The sequence below is a fragment of the Homo sapiens genome, chromosome 9, assembly GCF_000001405.40.
Source record: "Homo sapiens chromosome 9, GRCh38.p14 Primary Assembly".
In the NCBI taxonomy this organism is placed as follows: domain Eukaryota; kingdom Metazoa; phylum Chordata; class Mammalia; order Primates; family Hominidae; genus Homo; species Homo sapiens.
In genome coordinates this window covers 72,698,179-72,724,025 of record NC_000009.12, presented here as the reverse complement: position 1 = coordinate 72,724,025, position 25,847 = coordinate 72,698,179, and the positions used below count along the sequence as shown (strand labels likewise).

Below are 25,847 nucleotides of genomic sequence, written 5' to 3'. Positions count from 1 at the left end.
TGCAACCATATGGGCAGAACCTCAAGATGATTTAACTAGGCCATGTGCTTGAGATTTTGAGGCAGTTATGAGAGTAATAAATGCCTCCACAACTTTCTAAAAGAAATAGAAACAGTAGCTCAGTGAGCCACTTGAAAAGCCTGCCAAACTAAGGCAGAGACAAGAATATCTCCAGGTAACTATGGTAAAATGGTACATGCATAACTAAGAAAGATTAAACAAATCACGAAACAGACAAGTAAAGGGAATTCTTGGTAGACAAAAGTATATTTAGCCTGTGTTTTACAGCTGACTTCCCTAACAATTGAGAACGTTTTCAAAACATGCAAATCCCAAGGAAAAAAAACAATAATTTTTACATTTGGCTTTTCTCAATATCCTTTCAGGGAAAATTTCAAAATATTATTTGAAAGGCATTGGTAAAGTTAACCACAATAATTTGCTAAGCACTCATAACAATACAATAAATATTAATAAGATAAATCCTGAGACAGAAAACTGTCACGGACATTGTTCTTGTTTAATAGAAATATGTAAGATGCAGGATAGTTTATAGCTGTAAATACTTATTCCAATAGAATGAAAATGATGAAGCAGGCAATTGTGGTAGATCAACTCTAATGTGAATGGCAAGAGATTTCTGATCTCAATCAAGAATTGATTTCTCTTGAATAAAAAGTGTTCCACTTTATGATAAAATTTAAAAAGAGAGAAATGAGCAGAAGAGGAGAAGATGAAAGAAAAACTGAAACTCTATGCATGCTAACAGATTTGGGAGGAAAGTCATATAAACAAAAGTCATATAAAACAAAAGTCATATAAAACAAAAATCATTTAGCTAGCAGTTTTTTTAGTTTAAAAAACTGGGATAAGAAGTCATTGATGCACTTTTGGCCTTTGTCTGGAGCCTTCACATTATGGAATCATTGTTTTTCCTTCTCACAGGCAGCTCTAATTCAAGCATTTCATAGTTGATTATAGATTAAATAACAGAGTTATTTTACTTTAACCTCTGCTTTCAGTTGTTCCAGATCAGTTTTACCTTAGTTGAGTTCATTATTAAATCCCTCAAAGAGATACCGAAGCTGACTTATGCTGGCTCACACAAAACCACTGATTATGAAATTTTCAAGAATTTTGTGAGTTGGCTCTAACTGTTGGTAGCTTAAAATTGGCTATAGTGGAAGTATTTACACCACGGAAATTGGCAAGCACTATAGATCAGGGCTTTTTACCAGCACATTTCTGTCCTTCACTCACCTATTCATCCAGACCCTTTAAACATCCAGTCATGTTAATTGTTCTGCTTTGGAAATGAATGTCCAACAAAAAAGACATTAACATTTTCACCCACACAGAAAATATTAATTAAATATTGCATACAAAGCACTATGCTAGTACTTGAGACAATAAAGAGCTATGTGATACGTTTCGTGCCCTGAGGAGCTCAAAATCTCTTCTGAAATGGAGATTTACATATAATTTTTAAAAATGCAACACAATGCTGCCTAACAGAAGAGCCAAATGAATAATCAAGAGAATTCATTTGAATTTTATTTCTATGGGCGTTGGCAGAGAAAGAGGCTCAAACGGGAGATAAAGTCAGGCATGGAAGAAGCATAGGATGCCAAAAAATGGAGCGGATACCAGAATAAAGTGATAACAGGTACCTGGCATGTCTATAGGGAAGATTAATCTCATTTCACTGGAAAATACAGTTCAAATTAGAAGTAGTATGGCACAGTAGAAAAAGCCTGAGGTTTTAGAGACAGAGAAATCTGGATTTTAATCCACCCTCACAGTTAATAACTGTGTAAGGTGACCTTACCTCTATCAATCTCAATTTTCTCATCTGTAAAATGGGGATAACTTTGTTTTCAATGTTCTCATAAGGATTAAATGAGTTGATGTGTAAAACATCTAGTACAGGACACGATACACAGGAGACACTCAAAAACATTTGGAGATGGTTTTGTCCCTCTCCAAAACCTCATGGTCATCATCAGTAATTAATGAGAGTTTGCTTTGGAAAGTAAGTTGGAATTCAGGTTGTGGAGCTCACCGATATTTTTTAGGCAAAATTGACTAAATTTTGTTAATTACTAGGGAGACATTGAAGGGTTTGAACATGGGGATGACAGGTATTTAAAAAGAACTCCATGACTATAGTGCATGAACAGTGACTTGGAGTTACATAGACTTGAGTTCTATAATGTGAGTTGGCTGAATTATTTGAGACCACTGAATTCTGCTATTGGAAAAGATGGAAATCATTAGAAATGTTCAGCATAGATAATAAGTAGCTCTTGGCTTGGAATAGTCAGGTGAAATTCATAGGCAGGGGCAATTTCATAGGCCTGTGACCTGCACTGTTACAGGACCCCATACTCACATGGGCCCTGTGCTTAGTTTTATGCTCTGCTATTGTCATTGTTGGGAAGAAATTATAATTTTTCTGAACCCTCGTAAGTTTTTAATTGAGACAGTCTCCTGTAACAAATGACAGATTAACAAGAGAAAAACAAACAAGTCTATTAATACATGAACATCACGCAGGTGAAAAGTAACTCAAGGCAGTGTGGCTTAGAATCCCAGCTAATACAAAGTATTCAACAAGATCAATACATTGTAGAGAAGTGACAGGACAAAGAGGAAAACAGCCCTAAGCTTCCAAAGGCCAGAGAACTGTGGGAAAGAGTCAAGTCTGTTCCCAGATTTTTCTGAAGCAGGCTCTCAGCTGGTAAAGGTTGTAAAGGAGAATTTACATCTTGTCTTTAGGCAGGAAAGGGGAGGAGGAACATAAAAGACCTTTTGTTTTTGTAATTCTCTGTCCTGCTTTTAGGCAAATAGAAGAGGCAGAGAGCTTTTCTGCATGTGCTTCTTAATTCCCTTCAGCTCAAAAATATTTACGTCAATGAGGCATATTTAGAGCTGGCATATTCTGGTTTCTTTCATCATCTTAAAATTCTTAATAATAGAAATTCTTAAGTATTTTTTAACAAGGGGCCCCCCATTTGCATTTTACATTACATCATGCAAATTATGTAGCTGGTCCTGCACATAGGATATGTTAAATATAGCTAATAAGTAAACATGTACATATGATGCATAGGCATGTTTGATGTGTTCACTACAGATAGCAGGTAAATTAGTAACCTGTAATATCTGCCAAAGAAAGACAGAAAATAAATTTTTAAAAATATATATGATGAACAAACAAGAACATTACAGTTAGAAAGAGATGAAAAGACCAAATCATTATCCTGACACTTTGGGACTGAGATACCTGTCACTGCTAACTTGACCAGCCATTGGTGTCATCCAGTTTGTTCCTCTTGCATCTGCTCTGTCCAAGAAATGCAGACACAACTCCTGCAATTTCAGCAGGCTAATCACAAGCTACTGCTATGATCAGGCGTACTTGTCCTGTGTCATTCATTCCAATGGAGCTTGTACCTATCATTGGCCCAAGTAATCTTTATTATGTGGCCCCCATTGGGACCTCAGTCCCCTTAGCCACACTATCAGCAGGATGAGAGAGACAGGGCACACGAACACTGCAGAACACAGGATACAGAAGTGTGGTCCTGTTGCCCATGATCTCACGATATTGCTACTTTATCCCATGTCTTACCATAACCCATCTCTTTCCCCTTACTTCTCACTGTGCTTTAAATAAGCTTACTAAGCCATGTGATTTGAGCATTTTAATTTGGTATGTGAACTTCAGGTTTGTGACTTCTGGGAGAGCTTGCTTGGTAGTGTACTTAGAGACCTCCATCATACCAAGGTAAGTTTCCACACAACAAGCTTAAATTGTGGATCTATCACTTATTAATTGTCTGACAATTATTTATCCTCTCAGAGTTTCAGTTTCCTTATATGTAAAGTCAAAATAGTAAAACCTACCTTGAAGGAGGGTTAAGAGGGATAAAGAAAATTATTATGCTAGGTACCATGTTACATGCTTGTATCTATGAGCTTATTTAATTATCTCAATAACTTTATGCAGTAGTACTTTTATCTCCATTCATAGTAAGGAGACTCAAGGATGTAGAGACTAAGAAACTTGCCCACAGCATAATGCTTGACACCTGGTATGAACTTATAAAATAGCAGAAAAATGGGATGTCAATGTTACCTTTTGATGGACAAAATCTAGATGCATTAATTGCCTATATACTCTCCATTCTGCAGATGAAAAATTGCTATACTCAAGATACCTGTAAAGTACAAGAACTGAAGGCCTGTGCTTTGGTTGAGTTATTGGTTAAAAATAATCCAGAATGAACTGCTAGGAAAAAATGGCAGATAGGAGTCAGGACTAAATTGCAGCCCCCACTTGGATGGATAGAATAGAATGTGGAGACTTGCATTGTGAACTTTTGTTCCAAGAACTGCTGCAGAAATATACTGGGAAAGTCAAGAGAATCCACAGACCATTTGAAGGAAACAGGTTGCTCCTGCAGGACTTGGGAGACAGCCCAAATACTGTGAGTGCCCAAACTGCAAAAGTGGGAAAGGGAGATCATCCCCTGCCCCGAATATACACACTCACTGGGGAACCTAAAGGTCCAGATCACAAGAGAAAGATTTGACCTTACCTGGAGCTGAGACAATTTAGAGAGCTGAGTGAAACACAAGGGTAGAAGAAGCCACAGGAAAAGCCATGTGGGTTCTCCGGGTCCCCAGAGAAGCAATTTCTGACTTGTCTCACAGGAGTCCTTGAGGAGGGCTGCCAGAGGAACTGGGAAAAGACCACAGGGAGAAGGAAACCTCCAGCTGAACTCTGTAACGATTCCAACCAAATGTGAAGTTTCCTGGCCAGAACTTGGGGGAGGATGTGAATCCGGTGACAGGCAGGGAGGTGGCACAAAAGCCCCGCTTGCTTTCTCAACCAGGAGGCTGGTAACCTGGGGCAAGTTCTCAGCCCTACTTGCCCACTGCCTGAAAACAATCTCAGTGCTGTTGGAGGGGGCACAGTGGGAATGAGACCAGCCTTTTGGGTTGCATGGGAGCTGGGTGAGGCTATCAGCTTTCTCCACTTTCCTGACAACCTGCATGACACAGCAGAGGCAGCCATAATCCTCCTGGGAACATAACTCCATTGACCTGAGAACCACACCCCTATCCCCACAGCAGCCACAGCAAGCCCCACACAAGGAGAGTCTGAGGTCATTCGTACCTAACCCTGCTCCCACCTGATGGTCCTTCCCTACCCACCCTGGTAGCTAAAGACAAAGTTCATATTTTCTTGGGAGTTCTAGGGCCCCCACCCACCACCTGATCCTCCCCTATACTACCACAGCTGACGTACTCTTGAAAGCGCCACCTCCTGGCAGGAGGCCAACTAGCACAAAACTAGTGCATTAAACAACTACAACTAAGGCACCTCACAGAGTCTGTTTTACTCCTCTGCCACCTCCACTGGACCAGATGCTGGTATCCACAGCTGAGAGACCTAAAGATGGTTCACATCACAGGACTCTGTGCAGACATCCCCCAGTGCCAGCCCAGAGACCAGTAGCTCCACTGGGTGGCTAGATCCAAAAGACAAATAACAATCACTACAGTTTGGCTCTCAGGAAGCCACATTCCTAAGAAAAGGGGGAGAGTACTACATCAAGGGAACACCCCATGGGACAAAAGAATCTGAACAGCAGCCTTGAGCTTCAGATCTTTCCTCTGAAATAGCCTACCCAAATAAGAAGGAGCCAGAAACACAGTTCTGGTAATATGACAAAATAATGTTCTTTAACATCATCAAAAAATCACAATAGCTCACCAGCAATGGATCCAAACCAATATGAAATCCCTGAATTGCCAGAAAAAAAAATTCAGAAGGTCGAGTAGTAAGCTAATCAAGGAGGCACCAGAAAAAGGTGAAGTCCAACTTAAGGAAATAAAAAAATATGATACAAGATATGAGGGGAGAAATCTTCAGTGAAATAGATAGCATAAATATAAAACAATCACTACTTCAGGAAGTAAAGAACACAGAGAAATGCAAAATGTACTGGAAAGTAAAAGAATTTTAAAAAATGAATAAAGCCTCCAAGAAGTTTGGGATTATGTTAAATGACCAAACCTAAGAATAAGTGGAGTCCCTAAGGAAGAAGAGAAATCTAAGTTTGGAAAACATATTTGGGGGAATAATAGAGGAAAACTTCCTCAGCCTTGCTGGAGATGTAGACATCCAAATACAAGAAGTTCAACGAACACCTGGGAAATTCATTGCAAAAAGATCATTGCCTAAACCTATAGTTATCAGGTTATCTAAAGTCAAGACAGAGGGAAAAATCTTAAGAGCTGTGAGGCAAAAGCACCAGGTAGCCTATAAAGGAAAATCTATCAGAGTAACAGCAGATTTCTCAGCAGAAACCCTACAGGCTAGAGGGGACTGGGGTCCTATTTTTATCCTCCTTAAACAAAACAATTATCAGCCAACAGTTTTGTATCCTAAGCTTCATAAATGAAGGAAAGATACAGTCTTTTTCAGACAAAGGCCAAGAGAATTTGCCACTACCAAGCCAGCACTATAAGAACTGCTGAAAGGAGCTCTAAATATTGAAACGAACCATGGAAACACATCAAAACAGAATCTCTAAATCATGAGTCTCACAAGACCCATTAAAACAAAAATACAATAAATAAGTAAATAAATAAAAAACCAAGGTATTCAGGCAACAGATAGTATGATGAATAGAATAGTACCTCACATCTCAATACTAACATTGAATGCAGATGGCCTAAATGCTCCACTTAAAAGATATAGAATTGCAGAATACATAACAATTCACCGATTTGCTGGCAAGATGGCAAAACAAGAACAGCTCCAGTCTGCAGCTCTCAGCAAGATCGATGCAGAAGGTGGGTGATTTCTGCATTTCCAACTGAGGTACCCAGTTCATTTCATTGGGACTGGTTGGACAGTGGATGCAGCCCAAGGAGGGCAAGCCAAAGTAGGGTGGGGCGTTGCCTCACCCAGGAAGTGCAAGGGATCAGGGAACTCCCTCTCCTAGCCAAGGGAAGCCACTATGGACTGTACCACATACACCGGCCCAGATACTGCACTTTTCCCATGGTCTTCACAACCTGCAGACCAGGAGATTCCCTCCAGTTCCCACGCCACCAGGGCCCTGGTGCTGGGTTTCCAACACAAAACTGGGCTGCCGTTTGGGCAGACACAGAGCTAGCCGCAGGAGTTGTTTTTTCATACCCCAGTGGTGCCTGGAATGTCAGTGAGACAGAACCATTCACGCCCCTGGAAAGGGGGCTGAAGCCAGGGAGCCAAGTGGTCTGGCTCAGTGGGTCCCACTCCCACGGAGCCCAGCAAGCTAAGATCCACTGGCTTGAAATTCTCGCTGCCAGCACAGCAATCTGAGCTCGATCTGGCATGCTCGAGCTTGGTGGGGGGAGGGACGTCTGCCATTGCTGAGGCTTGAGTAGGGGGTTTTACCCTCACAGTGTACACAAAGTTGCCAGGAAGTTCAAACTGGACGAAGCTCACCACAGCTCAGTAAGGACACTGCACCCAAACTGCCTCTCTAGATTCCCTCCTCTGTGGCCAGGGCATCTCTGAAAAAAAGCCAGCAGCCCCAGTCAGGGACTCATAGGTAAAACCCCCACCTTCCTGGGACAGAGCACCTGGGGGAAGGGGAGTTTGTGGGTGCAACCTCAGCAGACTTAAACAGCCCTGTGTGGCAGCTCTGAAGAGAGCAGCAGATTTCCCAACACTGGGTTCCAGCTCTGATAAGGGACACAGTGACTCCTCAAGTGAGTCCCTCACCCCCAGGTATACTGACTGGGAAACACCTCCCAGTAGGGGCTGACAGACACCTCATACAGGAGAGCTCTGGCTGGTATCTGGTGGATGTCCCTCTGGGACAAAGCTTTCAGAGGAAGGAACAGGTAGCAATCTTTGCTGTTCTGCAGCCTCTGCCGGTGATACCCAAGTGAACAGGGTCTGGAGTGGACCTCCAGCAAACTCCAGCAGACCTGCAGCAGAGGGGCCTGATGGTTAGAAGGAAAACTAACAAACAGAAAGGAATAGTATCAACATCAACAAAAAGGACCACTCAGAGACCCCAGCCGAAGGTCACCAACTTCAAAGACCAAAGGTAGATAAATCCACGAAGATGGGGAGAAACCAGTGCGAAAAGGCTGAACATTCCAAAAACCAGAATGCCTCTTCTCCTCCAAAGGATCACAACTCCTTGCCAGCAAGCGAACAAAACTGGATGGAGAATGAGTTTGACGAATTGACAGAAGTAGGCTTTAGAAGGTGGGTAATAACAAACTCCTCCGAGCTAAAGGACCATGTTCTAACCCAATGAAAAGAAGCTAAGAACCTTGAAAAAAGGTTAGACAAATTGCTAACTGAAATAACCAGTTTAGAGGACATAAATGACCTGATGGAGCTGAAAAACACAGCACGAGAACTTCATGAAACATACACGAGTATGAATAGCCGAATCGATCAAGCAGAAGAAAGGCTATCAGAGATTGGAGATCAATTCAATGATATAAAGCAAGAAGACAAGATTAGATAAAAAACAGTGAAAAGAAATGAACAAAACCTCCAGGAAATATGGGATCATGTGAAAAGACCAAATCTATGTTTGATTGGTGTACCTGAAAGTGATGGGGAGAATGGAACCAAGTTGGAAAACATTCTTCAGGATATTATCCAGGAGAACTTCCCCAAGCTAGCAAGGCAAGCCAACATTCAAATTCAGGAAATACAGAGAACACCACAAAGATACTGCTCAAGAAGAGCAACCCCAATACATGTAATCATCAGATTTACCAAGGTTGAAATGAAAGAAAAAATATTAAGGGCAGCCAGAGAGAAAGGTTGGGTTACCCACAAAGGGAAGCCCATCAGACTAACAGTAGATCTCTCTGCAGAAACCCTACAAGCCAGAAGACAGTGCCAATATTCAACATTCTTAAAGAAAATAATTTTCAACCCAGAATTTCATATCCAGCCAAACTAAGCTTCATAAGTGAAGGAGAAATAAAATCCTTTACAGACAAGGAAATGCTGAGAGATTTTGTCACCACCAGGCCTGCCTTACAAGAGCTCATGAAGGAAGCACTAAACATGGAAAGGAACAACTAGTACCAGCCGCTGCAAAAACATACTAAATTGTAAAGACCATCAACGCTATGAAGAAATCGCATCAACTAATGAGCAAAATAACCATCCAGCATCATAATGGCAGGATCAAATCACACATAACAATATTAACCTTAAATGTAAATGGGCCAAATGCCCCAATTAAAAGACACAGACTGGCAAATTGGATTAAGAGTCAAGACCCATTGGTGTGCTGTATTCAGGAGACCCATCTGACGTGCAAAGACACACATAGGCTCAAAATAAAGGGATGGAGGAATATTTACCAAGCAAATGGACAGCAAAAAAAAGCAGAGGTTCCAATCCTAGTCTCCGACAAAACAGACTTTAAACCAACAAACATCAAAAAAAGACAAAGAAGAGCATTACATAATGGTAAAGGGATCAATGCAACAAGAAGAGCTAACTATCCTAAATATATATGCACCCAATACAGGAGCACCCAGATTCATAAAGCAAGTCCTTAGAGACCTACAAAGAGGCTTAGACCCTCACACAATAATAGCATGAGACTTTAACACCCCACTGTCAATATTAGACAGATCAACGAGACAGAAAATTAACAAGGATATCCAGGACTTAAACTTAGCTCTGGGCCAAGCAGACCTAATGGATATCTAAAGAACTCTCCACCCGAAATAAACAGAATATACACTCTTCTCAGCACCACATCGCACTTATTCTAAAATTGACCACGTAATTGGAAGTAAAACACTCCTCAGCAAATGCAAAAGAATGGAAATCATAACAGTCTCTCAGACCACAGTGCAATCAAATTAGAACTCAGGATTAAGAAACTCACTCAAAACTTCACAACTACATCGAAACTGAACAACCTGTTCCTAAATGACTACTGGGTAAATAATGAAATTAAGGCACAAATAAAGATGTTCTTTGAAGCCAATGAGAACAAAGAAACAATGTACCAGAATCTCTGGGACACATTGAAAGCAGTATGTTGAGGGAAATTTATAGCACTAAAAGCCCACAAGAGAAAGAAAGAAAGATCTAAAATCGACACCCTAAAATCACAATTAAAAGAACTAGAGAAGCAAGAGCAAAAAAATTTAAAAGCTAACAGAAGGCAAGAAGTAACTAAGAGCAGAGCAGAACTGAAGGAGACAGAGATACAAAAAGCCCTTCAAAAAAAAAAAAAATCAATGAATCCAGGAGCTGGCTTTTTTGAAAGATCAACAACTAGCCAGACTAATAAAGAAGAAAAGAGAGAAAAATCAAGTAGATGCAATAAAAAATGATAAAGGGTATATCACCGCCGATCCCACAGAAATACAAACTACCATCAGAGAATACTATAAATACCTCTATGCAAATAAACTAGAAAATCTAGAAGAAATGGATAAGTTTCTAGCCACATACACCCTCCTAAAACTGAACCAGGAAGAAGTTGAATCCCTGACTAGACCAATAACAAGTTCTGAAATTGAGGCAGCAATTAATAGCCTACCAACCAAAAAGTCCAGGACCAGACAAATTCACAGATGAATTCCACCAGAAGTACTAAAAGGATCTGGTATCATTCCTTCTGAAACTATTCCAAACAATATAAAAAGAGGGAATCCTCCTTAACTTATTTTATGAGGCCAGCATCATCCTAATAGCAAAACCTGGCAGAGACACAACAAAAAAAGAAAATTTCAGGCCAATATCCCTGATGAACATCAATGCAAAGATCTTCAATAAAATACTGGCAAACTGAATCCAGTAGCATATCAAAAAGCTTATCCAACATGATCAAGCTGGCTTCATCCTGGGGATGCAAGGCTGGTTCAACATATGCGAATCAATAAATGTAATCCATCACATAAACAGAACCAATCACAAAAACCACATGATTATCTCAATAGATGCAGAAAAGGCCTTCAACAAAATTCAACAGCCCTTCATGCTAAAAACTCTCAATAAACTAGGTATTGAAGGAATGTATCTCAAAATAATAAGAGCTATTTATGACAAATCCACAGCCAATATCATACTGAATGGGCAAAAACTGGAAGCATAAGCATTCCCTTTGAAAACCAGCATAAGACAAGGATGTCTTCTCTCACCACTCCTATTCAACATAGTATTGGAAGTTCTGGCCAGGGCAATCAGGCAAGAGAAAGGAATAAAGGGTATTCAGTTAGGAAAAGAGGAAGTCACATTGTCTCTGTTTGCAGATGACATGATTATATATTTAGAAAACCCCATTGTCTCAGCCCAAAATCTCCTTAAGCTGATTAGCAACTTCAACAAAGTCTCAGGATACAAAATCAATGTACAAAAATCACAAGTATTCCTATACATCAAAAACAGATAAACAGAGAGCCAAATCATGAGTGAACTCCCATTCACAATTGCTACAAAGTGAATAAAATACCTAGGAATCTAACTTACAAGGGATGTGAAGGACCTCTTCAAGGAGAACTACAAACCACTGCTCAAGGAAATAAGAGAGGACACAAACATGGAAAAACATTCCATGTTCATGGATAGGAAGAATCAATATCGTGAAAATGGCTATACTGCCCAAAGTAATTTGTAGGTTCAATGCTATCCCCATCAAACTACCATTGACTTTCTTCACAGACTTGAAAAAAACTACTTTACATTTCATATGGAACCAAAAAATATCCTGCATAGCCAAGACAATCCTAAGCATAAAGAACAAAGCTGGAGGCATCACACTACCTGATTCAAACTTATACTACAAGGCTACAGTAGCAAAAACAGCATGGTACTGGTACCAAAACAGATATATAGGCCAATGGAACAGAACAGAGGCCTCAGAAATAACGCCATACATCTACAACCATCTGATCTTTGACAAACCTGACAAAAACAAACAATGGGGAAAGGATTCCCTATTCAATAAATGGTGTTGGGAAAACTGGCTAGCCATATGCAGAAAGCTGAAACTGGATTCCTTCCTTACACCTTATACAAAAATTAACTCAAGATGTATTAAAGACTTAAACCTAAAACCTAAAACCGTAAAAACCCTAGAAGAAAACCTAGGCAATACCATTCAGGACATAGGCATGGGCAAAGACTTCATGACTAAAACACCAAAAGCAATGGCAACAAAAGCCAAAATTTACAAATGGGATCTAATTACACTGAAGAGCTTCTGCACAGGAAAAGAAACTATTATCAGATTGGACAGGCAATCTACAGAATGGGAGAAAATATTTGCAATCTATCCATCTGACAAAGGGCTAATATCCAGAATCTACAAAGAACTTAAACAAATTTACAAGAAATATCAAACAACCCCATCAAAAAGTGGGCAAAGGACATGAACAGACATTTCTCAAAAGAAGACATTTATTCAGCCAACCAACATATGAAAAAAAGGCTCATCATCACTGGTTATTAGAGAAATGCAAATCAAAACCACAATGAGATACCATCTCACGCCAGTTAGAATGGTGATCATTAAAAAGTCAGGAAACAACAGGTGCTGGAGAGGATGTGGAGAAATAGGAATGCTTTTACACTGTTGGTGGGAGTCTAAAGCAGTTCAACCATTGTGGAAGACAGTGTGGCAATTCCTCAAGGATCTGAAACTAGAAATACCATTTGACCCAGCCATCCCATTACTGGGTATATACCCAAAGGATTATAAATCATTTTACTGTAAAGACACATGCACACGTATGTTTACTGCAGCACTATTCATAATAGCAAAGACTTGGAACCAACCCAAATGCCCATCAATGATAGACTAGATAAAGAAAATGTGGCACATATACACCATGGAATACTATGCAGCCATAAAAAAGGATGAGTTAATGTCTTTTGCAGGGACACGGATGAAGCTGAAAACCATCATTCTCAGCAAACTAACACAAGAACAGAAAACTAAACACCACATGTTCTCACTCATAAGTGGGAGTTGAACAATGAGAACACATGTACACACACTGTGGCCTGTTTGGGGATGCGGAGCTAAGGGAGGGACAGCATTAGGAGAAATACCCAATGTGGATGACGGGTTGACAGGTGCAGCAAACCACCATGGCATGTGTATACCTATGTAACAAACCTGCACATTCCACACATGTACCCCAGAATGTAAAGTATAATTTAAAAAAAAAGTATTCACCAACTAAGTATCTGCTGTCTTCAAGAGACTCAACTAACACATAAGGACTCACATAAAGTTGAGGTAAAAGGGTGGAAAATTACATTCCATGCAAATGGACACCAAAAGTGACCAGGAGTAGCTATTCTTATATCAGACAAAACAAACTTTAAAGCAACAGCAGTTAAAAAATACAAAGAGGGACACTAAATCATGATAAAAGGCTTTGTTCAACAGGAAAACATAATCCTAAATAAATATGCACCTAACACTGGAGCTCCCAAATTTATAAAACAATTACTACTAGACCTCAGAAATGAGATAGACAGCAACACAATAATAGTGGGGGACTTCAATACTCCACTGACAGCACTAGACAGGTCATCAAGACAGAAAGTCAACAAAGAAACAATGGATTAAAACTATACCTAGAACAAATGGACCCAACAGATATTTACAGAATATTCTACCCAACAACCACAGAGTATACATTCCATTCATCAGTGCATGGAACTTTCTCCAAGATAAACCATATGACAGGCCAGAAAACAAGTTTCAATAAATTTAAGAAAACTGAAATTGTATCAAGTACTCTCTTAGACCACAGTGGAATAAAATTGGAAATCAAAAGAAATCCTCCAATCCATGCAAATACATGGAAATTAAAGTACATGCTCCTGAATGATTGTTGGGTCAACAATGAAATCAAGATGGAAATGAAAAAATTCTTTGAACTGAACAATAATAGTGACACAACCTATCAAAACTGCTGGGATACATCAAAGGTGGTGCTAAAAGTTCATAGCATTAAATGCCTACACCAAAAAGTCTGAAAGAGCACAAATAGACAACCTAAGGTAACACCTCAAGGAACTAGAAAAACAAACCAAACCCAAATAGTAGAAGAAAAGAAATAACAAAGATCAGAGCAGAACTAAATGAAATTGAAACAACAACAAAAATACAAAAGATAAATTGAACAAAAAGCTGGTTCTTCGAAAAGATAAATAAAATTGATAGACGATTAGCAAGATTAATGAAGCAAAGAAGAGAGAAGATCCAAATAAGCTCTATTAGACATGAAATAGGAGATATTACAGCCAACACCACAGAAATACAAAAGATCACTCAAGGCTACTATGAACACCTTTATGCACATAAACTAGAAAACCTAGAAGAGATGAATAAATTCCTGCAAAGATACAATCCTCCTAGCTTAAATCAGGAGGATTTAGCTAGAATCAGAATTAGAAACCCTGAACAGACCAATAACAAGCAATGAAATTGAAATAGTAATTTAAAAATTACCAACAAAAAAAAGTCCAGGACCAGACAGATTCACAGCTGAATTCTATCAGACATTCAATCCTATTGACACTATTCCACAAGAAAGAGAAAGAGGGAGTACTCCCTAAATCATTCTATGAAACCAGTATCACCCTAATACCAAAACCAGGAAAGAACAAAACAAAAAAAGAAAACCACAGACCAATATCCCTGATGAACATAGATGCAAAAATCCTTAACAAAATACTAGCTAACCAAATCCAACACCATATCAAAAAGATAATCCACTATGATCAAGTGAATTTCATACCATGGATGCAGGGATAGTTTGACATACACTTGTAAATAAATGTGACACAACACATAAACAGAATTAAAACAGAAATGACATGATCATCTCAATAGATGCAGCAAGAGAGGATCCCCCTCCCTCTGCATGGGGGTGGTTTTCTCTTCTTTCTTTTGCCTATTAAACTTTCTGCTCTTAAACACCCACCCCCCCGAAAAAAAAATAGACACAGAAAAAGCATTTGACAAAAACCAGCATCCCATTTTGATTAAAACCCTCAGCAAAATCGGCATACAAGGGACGTACCTCAATGTAATAAAAGCCATCTATGACAAACATACAGCCAACATAATACTGAACAGGGAATAGTTGAAAGCATTCCCTCTGAGAACTGGAACAAGACGAGGATGCCCACTCTCACTACTATTCAACATAGTACTAGCCAGACCAATCAGACACGAGAAAGAAATAAAGGGCATCCAGATTGGTAAAGAGGTGAAACTGTCACTGTTTGCTGATGATGTGATCATATACCCAGAAAACCCTGAAGACTCCTCCAAAAAGCTCCTGGAACTAATAAATGAATTCAGCAAAGTTTCAGGATACAAAATTAATGTACACAAATCAGTAGCTCTGCTGTTTACCAACAGTGACCAAGCTGAGAATCAAATCAACTATTCAACCCCTTTTACAATAGCCACAGGAAAAAAAAAAAAGTACTTGGGATTATACCTAACCAAGGAGGTGAAATACTTCTACAAGGAAAACTACAAAACATGGCTGAAATAAATCACAGATGACACAAACAAATGGAAATACATCCATGCTAATGTGGTTGGGTAGAATCACTATTGTGAAAATGACCATACTACCTAAAGTAATCTACAAATTCAATGCAATTCTCATCAAAATACCACCATCATTCTTCATAGAACTAGAAAAAAAATTCTAAAATTCATATGGAGCCAAAAAAGAGGCCACATAGCCAAATCAAGACTAAGCAAAAAGAACAAATCTGGAAGCATCCAATTACCTTCCTTCAAACTATACTATAAGGCTATGGTCACCAAAACAGCAGGCTACTGGTATAAAAATAGGCACATAGACCAATGGAATAGAATAGAGAACCCAGAAATAAATCCAAATACTTACAGCCAACTGATCTTTGACAAAGCAAACAAAAACATAATGTGGGGAAAAGACACCCTATTCATTCAACAAATGTTGCTGGGATAATTGGCTAGCCACATGCAGGAGAATAAAACTGGATCTTCATCTCTCACCTTATACAAAAATCAACTCAAAATGGATCAAGGACTTAAATCTAAGACTTGAAACTATAAAAATTCTGGAAGATAACATCAGAAAAAACCTTCTAGACATTGGCTTAGGCAAAGACTTCATGACCAAGAACCCCAAAGCAAATGCAACAAAAACAAAGATAAATAAGTGGGACTTAATTAAACTAAAGAGCTTCTGCACAGCAAAGGGAACAGTCAGCAGAGTAAACAGACAACCCACAGAGAGGGAGAAGGTCTTCACAATCTCTACATCTGACAAAGACTAATATCCAGAATCTACAAAGAACTCAAACAAATTAGCAAGAAAAATACAAACAGTCCTATCAAAAAGTGGGCTAAGGTCATGAATAGACAATTTTCAAAAGAAGATATACAAACGACCAAAAAACTTATGAAAAAATGCTCAACATCACTAATGATCAGGAAAATGGAAATCAAAACCACAATGTAATACCACCTTACACCTGCAAGAATGGCCATAATCAAAACATCAAAAAATAATAGATGTTGGCATGGATGTGGTGAAAAGGGAACACTTCTACACTGCTGGTGGGAATGTAAACTAGTACAACCAATATGGAAAACAGGGTGGAGATTCCTTAAAGAACTAAAAGTAGAACTACCATTTGACCCAGCAATCCCACTACAGGGTATCTACCCAGAGGAAAAGAAGTCATTAAACAAAAAGGATACTTACACATGCATGTTTATAGCAGCAGAATTCACAATTGCAGAAATATGAATCCAGACCAAATGTCCATCAGTCAATGAATGGATAAAGAAATTGTGGTATATATACATGATGGAATACTACTCAGCCATAAAAAGGAGTGAAATATTGGCATTTGGGCCTGGCATGGTGGCTTACGCCTGTAATCCCAGCACTTTGGGAGGCCAAGGTGGGCAGATCACCCGAAGTCAGGAGTTCAAGACCAGCCTGGCCAACATGGCAAAACCCCATCTCTACTAAAAATACAAAAATTAGCTGGGTGTTGTGGCACATGCCTGTAATCCCAGCTACTCAGGAGGCTGAGGCAGGAAAATCGCTTGAACCTGGCAGGTAAAGGTTGCAGTGAGCCGAGATCACGCCACTGCACTACAGCCTGGGTGACAGAGCAAGATCCCATCTCAAAAAAAAAAAAAAGAAAGAAAGAAAAAGAAAAAGAAAGAAATATTGGCATTCACAGCAACCTGGATACAACTGGAGACTATTATTCTAAGTGAAGTAATTCAGGAATGGAAAACCAAATATCATATGTTCTCATTCGTAAGTGGAAGCTAAGCTATGAGGACGGAAATGCATAAGAATGATACAGTGGTCTTTGGGGACTCTGGGGAAAGGGTGGGATTGGGATGAGGGATAAAAGACTACAAATTGGGTTCAGTGTATACTGCTCAGGTGATGGGTGCACCAAAATCTAATAAATCATCACAGAAGAACTTACTCATGTAACCAAATACCACCTGTTCCCCAAGAACTTACTCATTTAACCAAATACCACCTGTTCCCCAAAAACTTATGGAAATATAAAATTTAAAAAAGAAAATAATCCAGAATGGTTTGAGGGTATGTTGGTGGGTGTGTTCACACGCTTAAATGTCCTCTTGTATAGCATCTTTTATTCCTTCACAATGACAGATGAGAGAAAAACTAAAGTATAAACCATGATTCTTGCCTGTGAAAATCTTAAGCTACAAGAAAACAGGAGAGAAAGGGTGAGAATGGAAGCCAAATAAATAGTTTTCCCAAAGTTTTCCCAACAGCTCCATTAGAGGAAATCAACCATGGTCTGTTTTCACTTTCCTAAAAATGTATTCATTCTCCCAACTAAAAAATAAAACAAAATAAAAAACAAACAAACAAATGAAAAGAAGTGTGAAAAGATCAAGGGAGATTGAGTAAGGAGGAATGTTACCTTAATGGCCAGCTGACAGTTTGAAGCACCTGTTTAAGTGTGAATGAAATCTGAGGATAACTTTCCTGGCTTTACTGGGTGTCTCATTAATAAATCACCAGGCCTAGCCAGCCAATGGACAACTCCCAGAAACAATAGGTCAGGGTACTACAAAGCTCAGAAATTAAAGTAGTCAGTATAATAGCTAAATAAACATTTTTGTTATCAAAATAAATCATTTTAAAATGGTGTCTATCCAAAAGCCAATTCCCTGCAAAAGTATACTTGGAGTGTTTCTGTATCCTAATTTGTAGACTCATGAAATGTTAGAACTGTCCCTTCTCCAAAATAAGTTTCTTTAAATATCCAGCTAAGTGGGTTTTTAAAACTGTTTTTTATTTTAATAGCCACAGAAGCATTCTTTCTTCCAATCAATGCTTTATATGGAAGTACACTGTGTAGAAGAGAGAAACCATAGGTCTGTTTTTGAAGCCGGCATTGTGGCCCAGTAGCTCTCCCTGCGACCTCTGCCTCCTTTGCCCTGATTTGATTTCACCAAACTGCTTGACTTTGGAGGATAGCAGTTTGAAGACCATGGTCCACAATCCAATTTATCTGTTTTATAAATGAATAAATGGAGGTTCAAAGAGAAGTTATAGGAAGCACTTAGCTCAAAGTCCAAGTCTCAATTTTCAGTCTAAAACCTATTCTACTGTAACAAAATAAGGTGGTTGCTTATTTAGGTTTAGTCATGAGCACTTTCAATCTACCACATATAATGTTCTGATACAGTTAAAAGTCTTAGGTTTCAAGACAAGTAATAAGTAGACCTGTTACTTTCTACCTGGGTATTTTATTTCACTTGTGGTGGCTGCTATCAGGTAAGTGCTGCGACCTCTTATAGGTAGGAAAGATCTAGTCATACAGCCTCTGAATTAAACCCATGAACAGCTTAAAAACAGATTATACTTAGTATTCTCATTAATGGATATTTTTAAATGATGTGATTAATAAAATATAGAAATTGACTTTCAAATAATTGGAAAATATGACACTGTTTCCCTTACCCCCCTCCAACTCCCTACACACACTCTTCCTCATTGTATAAATCATCTGTAGAGCTGAGTATTCTGTTTAGTGGAGCTTTCTGTCTCTCAGAATTGAAAACAGCAGCTTTCATTCTGACTATATATCAGTAATTTTTAGATCAAAAAATAAAAATATACATTTCTGGTCTGGGCCAGACACACCTGCCTTTCCACCAAGAGATTATCATTCAGTAGGTTTAAGGCTACAGGAATGTGTGAAATTGTATTGATATACAATAAAACATAGAATGAAAATCACAATTTCCACAGTGATGATGAAAAGGAGATGGCTTCCTTTCAGCTGTATAGAGCCAATTCTGCTATCTTGAAAATGCTGAACTCTAGCTCCTGAGCCATGTTTGAGGATTAATATGGATTCACAACCAATTCCTAGAGCTGCCTGCCTATGTAGCAACCACTTATATTAACCATCTTTTGATCCTAAGCCCTGAGTGTGCTCGGGTTCCTAATGGTAGATGCTCTTTAAAAATGTGGGAACTATCTCTGAGTCTCCCATAACACCCTCAGAACCATAAGTTGCCATTCCTGAGGCTTACTCTAAAATATATCTTAAAACCCTGACACTGTCTAAAATATCTTTTAGAAGTTTCAAAACTTTCTCCAAGTCCAGAACAAGAAGGCTTCGAACCCAGGCACAGATTCAAAGCTGTGATCAAAACATCTCTTTCAGTTACACTGAGCTTAGTATCTTGGGTTTCACAGACTTAGCCAGGAGCGATGATGCAGGCTAATTTGGGGAATATTAATAACATAATCCTTAGAAACACGCTCTCAAAGTTAGATGTCTCTGAAAGAAATAAAGGGTAGAGGGAAAGCTGCCTCACTCCCAAGCATTGGTGGCATTGGGGTAGAGAAACATTTACCTGCACGTTCTGTGAAGTACTGACCACTTGTTCTAATAATGTAGTTGGAATCTGGTGGGGAGAAGCTCAATAGAACATTCAAAAAAAGCTCAATAGAGCATTCAAAGAGAGATAAGTCAGGCACTTAAGTACCAACAACTTCATCACGGAGACTGAAACCAAAAGAATTAGGCTGGCCCCGGCCATGGCACCAGCTGGAACCCATAGGTGCGGCCACAAGGCAGAAACCACTTCTGGCCATGGAAAATCATCACCAGACTGTGAGCCTTGCTGACATGTGAGAAGCCACAGTTGTTTCTTTTCTGGGACTAAATTTGTGCTTCCATTCTGTGAGCTGACTTTGGCTTTGAAGATCTGAATCACCGTCTTGGTAACATGCCTAGCTTGTTCCCCAGCTGCACTGGTAGGAGGCAGCAAATCTGAATGTCTACAGGGTCCAGCCAAGCAGCATAAACAAGTAATATGGATTGTTTGAGAATGGTGCAAATTGAAAAAGGAATGCCCCATTAATAGAGGCCAGGTGCTTAGTCCTAGCTGTTACTGTGATGGAAGAATGTAGGACCAAATCTTCCACTTGTTCATGAAAAGCTGAACATCTGAATATTTTACTCCCACTTTTAAAAGATTGAGGCTGGGTGCAGTGGCTCATGCCTATAATCTCAGCACTTTGGGAGGCTGAGGTAGGAAGATGGCTTGAGGCCAGGAGTTCGAGATCAGCCTGGGCGACATAGTAAGACCCCATCCCTACACAAAAAGAAAAAATTAGCCAAACATGGTAGTGTGCACATATAGTCCCAGGTACGTGGTAGACTGAGGCAGAAGGATCCCTTGCTCCCAGGAGATTGAGGCTGCAGTGAGCTAAGATAGCACCACTGCACTCCAGCATGGGCAACAGAGTTAAGACCCTGTCTCGAGAAAAAAAAAGTAATTTAAATTTTTAAAAATATTGAAAAAAATTATGATAAAGAAAATCGATTTCATGGTTAAAATGGTGAATTTTGTATTGTATATATTGCCACGGTTAAAAAAAATAAAAGAAAAAGAAACAAAACACATGTGGGCCAAATAAAAAAACCTATGTCTAGATTAGAGTCAGGTGCGGTCTCCTTATTGTCAGTGTCTGCTTTCGTACTAAGGGCTCGTATTGTCCTTCTTTCCAATGCTAATGCCTATCTCTCCCCATTGCTAAAATTTGCTTAACTCTTGGACTCCAGACCAAGGCCTGAGACCTTGAAATCTGCCACAGAACTATGGCTATGTTTTAGAAGATCTGAGAACGGTCTGGTCCTGGATTTTGCTAAATTGTCAAATGCCTTACTTCCTTCTGTTGCATCCTCAAAATCTTATTGTTTATCCAAACTGGTACCAATGTGTCACCATCCCACAAGGCTTCTGGGGTCTGATTGTGACTAGGTCTGCTCCCACCTAGACTTGCCAGGTCCCAAATTCTCTCCATCTCTCTTGTCACCCTTCAGGAATTGGGCATCAAGTCTGTTCTGAGATGAAGTAATAACTACAACTTAGGTTTCCCAGCTATGTGCCAAGTTCTGGCAACATGTTTTACATAAATTATCTCATTTTATAATTCCAAAAACTCTGTCAATAAGGTACAATTTCATAAGGAACCTGAGTTGTGTAGAGAGACTACACAACTCGATCAAATGTGCACAGCTATTAAATGGAAGATCTGAGATCCTAACTCAAATCTGAAGCTGCTGTCTCCTCCACGATCCTGCACGAGAGATACGGGCAAAGACCAGGGGGGTATTTCTACACCTCCATGCAGTTGGAAAGGAAAGGTAGTCCTTGGAATTTTTATTCAATCATATATTTTGGAAGTTCACAATATTGCTCCAATTTTAAACTTTCTATATATAGTTATCTGAAGTTCCCAAGTTTGGGGACTTTATGGGTCATTAATATTTCAAATATATTTGAGAGGCCCACATAGGGTTGCCAAACTTCTATTTTGCCAGGTAAGAATATTTTTAAAACCTATAATTTAGCATCATTATCACTTCGCTAAATGAAAATTATTTTAATGTACAGACACATGAGCATGCATACACAAAATTTGTAGCTCTGTGGAACGTAGGATGCTGCTTGCCTTTGCCTTCATTTATGATGGATGTGTACATGAGCATGCAAAGGGAGTTCCCAGACTGCAATTTTGTGGTGTTGCAAAAGTTTTCTGGGAAAACCATTGTTTAGAACTTGGAAAACCTTACTCTACAAAACAAAACAAAAATACTATAAATGATGGCTACGCTTCAAGCGCACAGAGAAGATATAGAATATCTTTCTTTATTTTGGATATGAGGTAACTAAGGCTTCAGGAGATTAAGCGATACCTTTAAATAGCACACAAGCTCTTGCAGAACCAAGACTAGAAGTGAATTATCCTGATAGCTATTTCAGTTCTTGTTTTCATCATCAGAGACAATAATACTATACTATCATTTTTACAGCATTACTAGTTAAATAGGCTTGTGAAGGGATAGTTTTTAAAACTTACTACTATTTATAAAAATGATTTATGGAAGAATGCAATCTTTGGCAAAACTAGGAGATGCAAACATGGCTGTTATCACAAACAGTTTCCCTTTTCCCTGCCCTTTCCTCCTCTCCCAACCACCAGGGCAGGGAAATATAGTGTGATCCTCAGGGGTGAATCTTCCCATCCCCCAGAATAGGATAATCATTTGACTTTTCATATGAAGAGTTTATAAATCTGTGTGCTCTGACTGCGTTCGCGTCCACATTAGCATCAACATAAGACTGAAATTGGGTCACTGACATGTTCGGGGAATAGCTATTAGCATAACCTTTAATTGGAATCCTATTTACTATTCTGTTGGCCTAGCATCTTCTCTGTGCTTTAATGTAAGCTGTCACATGAAAAGTTCATTTGAGACCAGGGCCCTGAAGAGAAACAAGAGTGCACAATCCACACAAACTTGTAAAATTCAAATATATTATCTCTTTCAAAGAGATGGTAACAAATGTATTAAGCTAAGGAAACTCCAGTTTAAGGAACAAATGATTAAAGATGACCAAAGAATTTAAAAGACTCTAAATAATTTCTCAGAGTTGCTTCCAATTTATAATCATTAGCCCAGTCTCTCTAGTGATAAGAAACAGATATATGTAAATATACATATATTTGGGTATATATGCAGAAATATGATATACATGTTTATGACTGTGACCATTATATATAATGAGTCATATATAAATGATATATATAGTATTACATATACTATATATACAGTGTATGTGTGTGTGTGTGTGTGTATGTGTGTGTGTGTGTGTATATATATATATATATATATATATATATATGGAATATTCAGAGGATTTAGAAAATCAATATCAGGGAAAGTGTTTCTACTTATAAAAAGTGGCACCATACTTGAGAACTTCAATTTTCTTCTCCATCTTCCATGGTTTGCATTTGACAGTAGCAATTATTTGTCTTTTCTCATCTAACTCTGCCTTCAATCTTTCCAATTCCTCTTCATCAATTTCTTCTTCTTCTCTTTAAAAGTAAAAAAGAAACACCTTAATAAAGTTAAGCTTTGCTTGACTTTGGAACTTAAGGAAGGCAGGTATCAGATATTTAGCTCATTTTTTTTAAATGTAACCATATGCAGTCAACATTAGGACCCATAAGCATGAGAACTCAAATCTGAACACTGATGCAGGATTACTGGAACTATTATAACTTTAAGCAGTAGTGTTTGCCTTCCTGAATCTGAATCTAAGCCATTCTGTTTTTTTCTTTTCTTTTCTTTTTTTTTTTTTGAGATGGAGTTTTGCTCTTGTCACCCAGGCTGTAGTGCAATGGTGCGATCTTGGCTCACTGCAACCTCTGCCTCCCAGGTTCAAGCAATCTACCTCAGCCTCCCGAGTAGCTGGGATTACAGGCGCCCACCACCTAGCCCAGCTAATTTTTATATTTTTAATAGAGATGGGGGTTTCACCATCTTGGCCAGGCTGGTCTCGAACTCCTGACCTCAGGTGATCTGCCCACCTCGGCCTCCCAAAGTGCTGGGATTACAGGCATAAGCCGGGCTTTTTTTTTTTTTTTTTTTTTTTTGAGACAGAGTCTCGTTCTGTTGCCCAGGCTGGAGTGCAGTGGGACAATCTCGGCTCACTGCAACCTCCACCTCTCAGGTTCAAGCAATTCTCCTGCCTCAGGCTCCCCAGTAGCTGGGATTACAGGCATCTGCCATCTTGCCCGGCTAATTTTTGTATTTTTATTAGAGACAGAGTTTCACCACGTTGGCCAGGCTGGTCTTGAACTTCTGACCTCAGGTGATCCACCCTCCCCGGCCTCCCAATGTGCTGGGATTACAGGTGTGAGCCACCGCACCCGCCCTAAGCAATTCTTTTATGTCTAGAGCCTCAAACTCTCTGAACCAGAAAATCTGTGGAAAGAATAATTACAGATATATCAAGATATTTCCCTCTCTTCTTTGTTCCCTTGAATACCTTCCCTCAATTCTACATTTCGTTTAAATATTTTATTTCTCAATAAGGATAATAAATTAGGGGTGAAGATGTCTTTGCCCTTAAAAATTTTGTTAGCCCTGTCTCAAGAGAAAGAAAGAAAGAAAAATTGAAATCGGGAAAAATAAAAATCTATTTCTCAAAGGTAACTTAATGTTATCTGTTAATTAAACTTATAACTTCATTTGGTAAAATTCACCTTGAAATATATTTGGTGGAAGTGAATCCTTTGAAGAGATCTTCAAAGGAATTTAGTTCCTACTGAGCATGAGATGTAGCTTTTCTTTTCTGTGTTCCTAGTATTACGAAAACACTATGCGGTCCAGAACTCAAAGGAAACAAAATCTAAACAAGAGCAACATAATTTTAAATCGAGGCATGCAATACCACATTGTAGAGATCAGCTTTTTGGTAATAGATTATTTCAGTTTTTAAGCTATTGTCCCAACTTCAAACACACCCTCCTACACTTTAATATTGTGGTGCTGGGGCTGGTATTTTGTGAGTCATATTTCTGCTTTGTTAGCTGGGTCAATATATACTCTGACAATAGGGGATACTGAAGAGGGTCTCCGTCTTTCCTGTGGCTTCCTCTCTGCTTCATATTTGCTTTGTGGGGTGACACTTCCTCCTTAGCATCTCTTCTTCACTCCTGGAGCTGAGCGTCCTTGCCATACTGCAAGTGAATCCTTATCACCAATATTACCAACACTAGCAGAACCAGCTTCATCACCTCTCCCACAGAAACCAGCACCACAGAGCATCAGCCCCTCTGCAGAGGCCTGAGTTTTAGCTCCTAGGGTCTTTCCTCTACGCTACAGTGTTTTCGTTTCAACCCTTTCCATTGTTCCTCCAGCCCTTGGGATGGTAGCTGCTTCCAGTAGTTACCGTCACTATGATACTTTAGTGTTCTCTTTTTACCTTTTCTGCAGTCTAATTAACATTTATACCTCCTAACAATTCACTTATTAAATTCTCTCTGTTCAATTAACTGTTGAAGTTTCTCCCCTCACTAGATATTGACCAATAACAAAAATTGTAATCCAATTCAGTATTACTCAGAAAAATAATTTATGACTAGATACAGTAGAAATAAGGCAAAAGCTGCTTTTTAAAGTTCTAGTTGAGGAAAAGGACATATCCACAGTTTTATAGTTCACCTTACAAAATGACTTTCAATCTCCTTTATTTGCCACCAATTTATAGTTTTTAATCATGCTATGATTACTGAAACAAAAATTCATATTAACCCTTTAAAATAACACTTCCTATTGACAGTTTGTTTTTTGGACAATTCAAACATTTTGCTTAGAATAATCATTTTGGTTCAAGAGAACCAGGGAAGTACACTCTTCTAAGATACAT

At 39.0% G+C, this 25,847-nt stretch overlaps 1 protein-coding gene across 2 annotated transcripts in view, besides 1 other annotated feature; it reads right to left on the bottom strand.

The window, feature by feature from the left end:
- TMC1 (transmembrane channel like 1) overlaps positions 1 to 25,847 on the bottom strand; it is a 316,690-nt gene that overhangs the window by 114,272 nt on the left and 176,571 nt on the right. For both annotated transcript variants that reach the window (NM_138691.3, XM_017014256.2), the window contains one exon: positions 23,383 to 23,508. In NM_138691.3, coding sequence (NP_619636.2) covers positions 23,383 to 23,508 — 126 coding nt within the window. The remainder of the gene's footprint in view (positions 1 to 23,382; positions 23,509 to 25,847) is intronic.
- Positions 20,132 to 20,251: an enhancer, noted in NCBI's record as "active region_28463". NCBI's record gives its function as "activates an Ori minimal core promoter by ATAC-STARR-seq in GM12878 lymphoblastoid cells {active_cell/tissue: GM12878}" and the evidence as "EXISTENCE:reporter gene assay evidence [ECO:0000049][PMID:35858748]".